This window comes from Homo sapiens, chromosome 20, assembly GCF_000001405.40.
Source record: "Homo sapiens chromosome 20, GRCh38.p14 Primary Assembly".
NCBI lineage: Eukaryota > Metazoa > Chordata > Mammalia > Primates > Hominidae > Homo > Homo sapiens.
This window is the reverse complement of record NC_000020.11, coordinates 1200986-1209320: the sequence shown is the minus strand read 5'-3', so window position 1 is coordinate 1209320 and position 8335 is coordinate 1200986. Positions and strand designations below refer to the sequence as shown.

Genomic DNA, 8335 nt, shown 5'->3' with positions numbered 1-8335 from the left:
GAGAGCAATGTCATTTCTACTTTGCATGGCCAGGCAGATGTCTCTCAAGATAATAGTGGCTAATCAGCTTGTCCATTTGTAATAGTCATAGTTTCACAAATCAGAACATAATCATGCAGCAATAATAAGGTGCCATTCATTAGCCTTTCCAGTGTAACCAAGAATGGTTACAGTGGCAATTGGTAATAATAGCAAAAAGCTGTGTCAGTCTGGGACAGGTAGGAGACAGAAACCACACCAGTTATTTTAACACAGAAAATTTAATATAAAGAATTGCTAACTAGGTATAAAGTTGTTAACTGGGTGACTGAAAGGTTATAAAAAGAACTTTAAGGTAGGAATTGCAGCAAGCATCTGCCATCTCCAGGGCTGAGGGAACAAAGAAAAGAGGCAGAAACTATCAAACTTTAAAACTTACAGGAGGAATTCCCTGGAGTTTAAATTCAGCTATCTGAGAAAGGAACTCAGCTCAGCTGGGGCTGGTGTCTCTGAGCTCAGGAAAGGGCCAGGTAGGTAAGGCAGGGACCCACACTTCAGGGGAGGAGGGACTGGCATCTGAAGCTGATGTCTCTGAGCTCCTGGAAGGGGCCCCAGGAGTCTGGAACCTGGATCCTGGAGAAGTCTGGTGCTTCATGAAGGAATTGCTGCCTGTTGTGAAGAAACATTGCTGGGAGATGCTCATAGGAACAGGAAGCCCACAGGGAAACAAGAAGAAGGAGCAAGCCCCTTTTCTCTCCTCTAGACTTGTAGTCTAACTCCATGCTGTATATTGGCAAAGCCTAACAAACTCTAACAGGGAGCAGCTGGTAACACCAAAAGGTGCTTTGCAGGGACCCAGCTCCAGCATCACAGAGCAGGTATCATTTATATTACCAAATACAAAAATCACAGGTTGATCTGACTACAAACATTATACTTATAATGCACCCCCTCCACTCTGCCTCTACATGCAATCGATTTACTTTTTCAAAGCCATAAAAACAATGTTCTAGCAACATACAGGTAGATTTTCAAAAACAAAAAGGGCTACCGATCATCAGACCATCTTAACACCATGACTTTTTTATTTTCACCTTTTCTGTTTTAGTCTTTCTTATAGGCAGATACAATTTTTCAGTTATGACTGCAGCACCCCACACAACTGAGTGTCTCTGCTGTATCACAAGCCTGGTTGCCTGCTGTTACGGAGGTTGTTGTCACAAACCCTCATTGAATGAAATGCCATTTTCATATTGATTTCTCCTCTTTGATTCTTTGAACATCTGGATCATATTCCTCAAGACCATTCTAGCTGCAAATGAGGGAAACTGCTCAAATCAGCTTAACCAAAAACAAATTGATGTGTGTGGCTGTGTTGGGGGGTGAAATTGACTGGCTTCGGTCCCTGGAAAGAATGCAGGAGTAACTCACAAAACTAGGACCTAAAACCAGGGACCAAAAAGAGCCAGCGCTCTTCCTCTCTGTCCATCTGTTGTGTGGCCCTCTCTCTACTTCTCTTTGGAGATTAGCCTCTTTCCTTCCTACTGCAGACAGGTCTTCTTTACCTGGTAGGAACATGGCCACCAGCAGCCTCAGCCTGAGTGTAATAGAAAGAGCTTCCAGGTAGCAATCTCAGGGAAGGTCGGTGACTGGCTCTGTTGGTTCACATGACCATCCATTGGGCCAATCATCTTTTTAGGGCAACCATGAATTATATCATTGGCCAGGCCTGGTAATATACCCATGCCTATGGCCAGGGTGGTTACAGGGCCTAATATGTTATCAGATGAAGGGGAATGGGAAGGCTTCCTGGGAAGACAGAAAACAGCCACTAAGTCACTACACAGGGGTTGGAATTTTCACCATAGCAACACTTGGTAACCATTACTGCACATCTAGTTCTTTGTTTTAACAATTGCCTTGTGAAAAATTCCCAAGGATAGGGTTACTGCCATGGTGCTTGCCAGAGCACTAGAGCACATTTGTGTTTTCAGTCGAAAAGTGTGTTCACATCCAATACCTTATGTGTGCCTCACCAAGAAATCCCAAGTGACAGAAAAGGAACCAGAGACACAGAGAAGCTGAGTGACAGATCCAGGGATGCACAGCAGATGAGGGCAGAAATGAACCCAGAGCCCTGGCTTTCTGACTCCCATTCCAACACTCTGCCCCTGAAATATCACAGTGAAAGGTTAGACTAATGGGGAGAGTGTTAAAGCCCAGTGTCATCTCCGTCCAGTTAAGGGAGAGAGCTTCGTCTGCTGTCTTCCCCTCGGAGGAGCTGGGCCAGACCCCTTGAGCAAACCGGCTGGCAGCCCCTGCCTTCGGAGCCCGCTCGAGCTCTGATGGGGGATGTCCCTCCGCTGGACCTGGCGTCCTCCCAGTGGGCGCTGTCCGCACGCAGCTCCTCCAGGACACTGTGAAGATGCCTCAGTGTGAGCAGGAGACTCTGATCTTGAATCTGCATCTCAGACTAGGAGAGAGAAGGAGCCTGTGAGGGGATGCGTGGAGCCCTGGATGTTTCCCCATCAAGCCCCTTCCCTCGCTGTCTCATCGGAGACCAGCCCACTTGTGATTCGCACAGCCTCACAGAAGCCGTATCCACCAATGCCTCAGTTTCTTGCTCTGCAAAGCAGAAAGCAAATTGCTTACTTTTCAAGGCTTTCATGAGGACTGAATGAATTTGCCCATGGGAAAATCCTTTCAAGGGGTCAGCGAGGTCAAAACTACTTTGGTTACAATAGTAAGACGTTATTTTCCTTTTTTTGCTTTCATTTTCTTATGAGCATACCATGGAGTTTTCCAGAAGCTAATGACATGTAATGTCTCAACAGACTGAATGCAGGAAGCAGCTATGAGAATCCAGCTGTGTTCTATTAAGACAGACATTAAAGCAATTTGCAACAATGTAAAATGGGGCTACTCTTCCCACTAAATATTTGCTTTGAAAAATATAGTTATTTTGAATAAGTAATGTTTTATTAACATATTATGAATTTGTTATTATTTTAGAATGCATTAGTAAATATATTAAAAATGTCTCAGCTTTGGCTTCTAATTCAGTCAGTATTGTTATATATAACTCACGTAAACAAAAGCTTTTTGGTGGCCTTAATAATTTTTTGGGGCATAAAGGGTTCCTAAGACCCAAAAGTTTGAGAACTGCTGCATTAGAACTCTCCTGTCATCTTCAGCCATCTCCATTCTTTCTCCCATTTTTTCCTGAGAATTTTTTCCCATACATTTTCTCTCTTTTTCTTTCTGTTTATTTATTTATTTATTTATTTTTGAGGCGGGGTCTCACTGTGTTGCCCAGGCTGGAGTGCAGTGGTGCAATAACGGCTCACTGCAGCCTCGAGCTCCTGGGTTCAACTGATCCTCCCACCTCAGCCTCCCGAGTAGCTGGGACTCCAGGTGCACACCACCATGCCCGGCTATTTTTTGTAGAGGCAATGTCTTGCCATGTTGCCCAGGCTGGTCTCAGACTCCTGGGCTCACGCGATCCTCTCAACTCAGCTCCCAAAGTTCGCTTTCTCTTTAAAAATGTTAAAATTCTATTTTTTGACTAAGTAATTCTTAACACATGATAGAAAATTTAAAAGCTACAAAAGGACATATATTTAAAAGTCTCTCCCACCCACCTCACTTTATCCCTCAACTCAAGCGTCCTTCTCCAGAGGCAGCCACTGCAAATGCTTCTGTTTTTCCTTCCAAAGCTGGTCGGGGCAACACATGGTTAGATATACAGATTCTCAGCCTCTCTCTTTCTCTGTCTCTCTTTGCAAGAGATACTTATGAACATTATTTCCCCACTAAAAATAGTGTTTTCATTTTTGTGACAAGCTGATTACAAGTAAGAAGACCAAGTCTGCATCCTCTACTCAAGCATGAGTAACACTGCCAAGAGAATATGTAGCTAGAAAGAGAGATGTGAGGCCAGGCCCAGTGGCTCCCACCTGTAATCCCAGCACTTTGAGAGGCCGAGGTGGGCAGATTGCCTGAGGTCAGGAGTTCAAGACCAGCCTGGCCAACATGGTGAAACCCGGTCTCTACTAAAAATACAAAAAAATTAGCCAGCCGTGGTGGCATGCGCCTGTAATCCCAGCTACTAGGGAGGCCGAGGCAGGGGAATCACTTGAACCCAGGAGGCGGAGGTTGTAGTGAGCCGAGATCGTGCCACTACACTCCAGCCTGGGCGACAGAGTGAGGCTTCATCTCAAAAAAAAAAAAAAAAAGGAAAGACGTGAAGCAAAGGTGTAGTCGGCCTCCCTCAGAACACTGGGACGACTCAGGCTGCAGAGCGAGTGGTCCTGGGCCCATTTTTTCCTAATTCCTCAGAAAACATTCACTCTGTGTTTTCTCGATTTTAGGGTTTTCCTCCTGCACATATTTCTGGGTATGCGCCTACAAGACCACAGTGGGGTTCCCAGCACGGAGGTGGTGATGAGGCATCCAGGCACCCACAGTTTCAGGGAGCATAAGGAAGACAGCTGCCCAGTGCTGGATGCCTGCTGACTGTGGGAAGCTGCAGTCCCTGCTGCTGGAATTCCCTGGTCCCATGAGAAACCCTACTGGGTCAGCCCTTCCTCTGGGGTGATGACAGGGTTGGGTCCCAGCTGGCCTGTTGCCTGGCAACCCAGAAAGGTCATTTTTGGACAATCCTGTCTGTCTCTCCCCAGGATGAGAGGTGTGTATATTGAGAAACAAACCTCTTCTGAGGTTCCCTGAGCTGCCTCCTCTCTCCTGGCTGGTGTCCCCACACACTTGGGGGCACCCCTCTTTTTTCGGACTTGGAGAAAATACCATAATGAAAGGCATAAGCCTGGCTTCCTGAGCAGCAACCACAGGACCAAGTAACATAACATCGGGTCAGGAGAGTTAGTGCTCCATGGGGGAGGCCCTTGCCAATGGGAAATGAGAGACAGGAACGAGCTGGGCAGATGAATTTCCTCTCGTTCTCTCTCCCCCAATGTGCAGTTCCTCCTTCAACCCCTGCAGAGCATCTCAGCTGCTGAGACACCCACTGGGCCTCCTTAAGGCAACTTCTGAAGCCGTAGGCTGCTTGGTAATACAATGTCTGGCGTAATTGCCTGGCATAGCATTGGCCTCTGCTGCCACACCCTATGTTCCTCCCTATCACCACCCTTGGCTTGTACTTCCAAATAAAGTGCTAGTTTCTCAATCCTTGTCCAAGCCTCTGCTTTCTAGGGGACCCAGGCTAAGACATTGGGTGTACGCATGTCCATCTGGGTCAGGGTTATAATAGCCAGCACCACGGTGCCAAGTATTCATTAAGAGGATTACAAGCATCTCTTCAGTGAATCCTTACAATACCCCATATGATATTGGTACTATTGTTATTCCCATTTTGTGATAAGGAAACTGAGGCTCAAAGAGATAAATCCCCTGCTAGAGCCACACAGAGGACTCAGCACACACGGAGGACTCAGTGTCATTCTAAAACCAGTCTGGCCAGCACCACACCCAGCACCTCCCATATAGGCCACGACCTACTTATCCCTGAACCTGAGATCACAATTGTGCATTGTGTGGTAGGTCCCAGAGGGGAGACTGCAGGGTCCATACCGTAGCCTGCAGCCTCTGCCCCAGGGGGGACCCGGGAAGGAAAACCAGAGATCTTTGGAAAATATGTAGTCGGGGCATCAAGGAAAAGCAATGCAAAACCTTACCAGCTCCTTTCTCAGCCACTCCAAGGTCTGCCCAAGACTCGGGCTGGGCTCTTCTGCTATTTTCATCTCAGTGTTCTTAGGAGTGACCTTGACACTGACCTGGTTCTGGGCCCGAGGGATCTTTGACTTGTACATTCCCCCAACTCTTTCAGACTGGCAGCAGGTTCTGGCCAAATCACTGAAGATGGAGTTAATGAGAGCAGGAAGTAGCTCACATTGAAAAATGTAATCTGGCTTTTTTTTTTTTTTTAAAGGGCTTTAGTGCTCTGAACAGAACAAGGAGGAAGGGAGGGAGACCATTATGGGTCCGAGTACCTTGGAGCCTGCTGTTCCAGAAGCCAAGAATATGTGATGCCAACAGGATCACAGAGAATGCAAAGCTTTAAATGGCAACAATATGGTTATTATGAAAATAGGCACTCTTTTCTAAGGGTTTGCTTTGTGCTTTACATATAAACTATGTATATGTCTCATTTGGCATATACCTCCACGGGTGTCCCAAGTCCCTGTCCTCATTTACTTATCTATAGAGTCCAGATAAAGGAAATGCTCACTTTCCAAGTTTCCTTGTTTCTGGAATCCCCATGTGACCCATTTCCAGCAAATGAGATCAAAGCAGCAATTTGCTGTTAGGCTTCCAGAAAAACTTTTACCTTCCTAACAAAAGGGAAAATGTCACTGCTGCTTCCCTTTTACTCCTACTTTCTCCCTTTTCCTTCTGCCTTGAATGTGGATGTAATGTCTGGAGCTATGGTAACTGTCTTGCGACCATAAGACAAAGCCCAAGAAAATCACAGAGCCATTAGAAATCATTGCACCCCTGACTCGGCAACAGCATCTATATGAGAAAACAGACCCGATGTCTAATGGAACACTCTGCTACTTGCAGGCAAACACAGTCCTGACACACCATTTATTCTTCCCATTGTTATAGGAAAGGGGTCCCAACCCAGACCCCAAGGGAGGGTTCTTGGATCTCATGCAATAAAGAATTCAGGGGGAGTCCATACAGTAAAATGAAAGCAAGTTTATTAGGAAAGTAAAGGAATAAAAGAATGGCTACTCCATAGATAAAGCAGCCTTGAGGGCTGCTGGTTGCCCATTTTTATGGTTATTTTTTGATGATCTGCTAAACAAGGGGTAGATTATTCATGTCTCCCCTTTTTAGACCATATAGGGTAACTTCCTGATGTTGTCATCGCATCTGTAACCTGTCATGGCGCTGGTGGGAGTGTAGCAGTGAGGATGACCAGAGGTCACTCTTGTGGCCATCTTGGTTTTGGTGAGATTTAGCCACTTTCTTTACTGCAATTGTTTTATCAGCAAGGTCTTTACGACCTGTATCTTGTGTTGATCTCATCCTGTGACTTAGAATGCCTTAACCATCTGGGAATGCAGCCCAGTGGGTCTCATCCTCATTTTACCCAGCCCCTATTCAAGATGGAGTTACTCTGGTTCAAATGCCACTGACATCATCACACCGTGAAGCAGGTATTCAATTCTCTCTTTCGCTAAACACTTATTGAATGTCTACTGTGTGCCGAGTTCTGCTCTAGACACTGGGGTTATCAACCAAAATCAGAGAAACAAAGGCCCTGCTTTCCTGGAGCTGACATCCTAGTAGTCATTGGAAACAAACAATCAAATTAATGCTACGATGAAAATATGTAGACTCTATTCTCACATAGGTCTTTTAAAATATAAATTTATTGGGCAGGCGTGATGGCTCACGCCTGTAATACCAGCACTTTGGGAGGCCGAGGTGGGCGGATCACCTGAGGCCAGGAGTTCGAGACCAGCCTGGCTAAACATGGTGAAACCCCGTCTCTACTAAAAATACAAAAATTAGCCGGGTGTGGTTGTGGGCGCCTGTAATCCCAGCTACTCAGGAGGCTGGAGCAGGAGAATTTCTTGAACCCAGGAGGCGGAGGTTGCAGTGAACTGAGACTGCAAATGTATATATATAAATTTATTCTATTCACATGCACTAGAAACTCCAAACCAAGAATTAGCATAGTGACCCCAGATAAAGATGTGAAATGACTGGCAAAGCAAACTCAGCCGAGTTTAGGGAAACTTGCCCTCAATCTGGCTACACAAAATATCCTCAGATAGAGCTCCCCTGAAGATGAACTCATATAAGAACACACAAGGAAGCCATTCACCATAAATGAGAGTCAACAGACACCATTCACCCCCTTCCCCCAAGAACTTCAGATGAAGATAATTAAAAGTATTTTGAGGCCAGGTATGGTGGCTCACACCTGTAATCCGAACATTTTGAGAGGCCAATGCAGGAGGACTACTTGAGGCCAGGAGTTTGAGACCAGCCTGGGCAACATAGCAAGACCCCTTATCTAAACAAAATAAAATACAATAATTAGCCAGGTGTGGTGGCACGTGCCTGTAGTACCAGCTTCTCAGGAGGCTGAGTCAGAAGGATTGCTTGAGCCCAAGAGGTCGAGGCCGTAGTGAGCTTTGATTGCACCACTGCACTCCACCCTGTCTCAAAAGAAAAGTATTTTGAAAAGAAGAGGCATACAAGAAGGAATCAAAATCATACAAAAAAAGAGACACTTTTTTCTTTTTCTTTTTTTGAGAAGGAGTTTCACTCTTGTCACCCAGGCTGGAGTGCAATGGTGCAATCTCGGCTCACTGCAGCCTCT

The 8335-nt window shown here is 45.8% G+C and overlaps 1 protein-coding gene across 1 annotated transcript; it reads right to left on the bottom strand.

Moving 5' to 3' along the window:
• Window positions 1-244: 244 nt before the first annotated feature.
• C20orf202 (chromosome 20 open reading frame 202) lies at window positions 245-5867 on the bottom strand. The gene is made up of 2 exons (NM_001394958.1): window positions 5670-5867; window positions 245-2452 (listed from the first exon to the last, which is right to left on the bottom strand). Exons 1-2 carry the CDS (start codon window positions 5733-5735, stop codon window positions 2219-2221), a joined length of 300 nt encoding a protein of 99 aa, NP_001381887.1. The 5' UTR covers window positions 5736-5867; the 3' UTR covers window positions 245-2218.
• Window positions 5868-8335: the final 2468 nt, after the last annotated feature.

Excerpts from the sequence above, each read along its gene's own strand:
- C20orf202 (NM_001394958.1), bottom strand. The coding sequence starts at position 5,735 with ATGAAAATAGCAGAAGAGCCCAGCCCGAGTCTTGGGCAGACCTTGGAG. Across the intron at positions 2,453-5,669 it reads AGTGGCTGAGAAAGGAGCTG|TCTGAGATGCAGATTCAAGA; the intron begins GTAAGGTTTTGC and ends TCTCTCTCCTAG.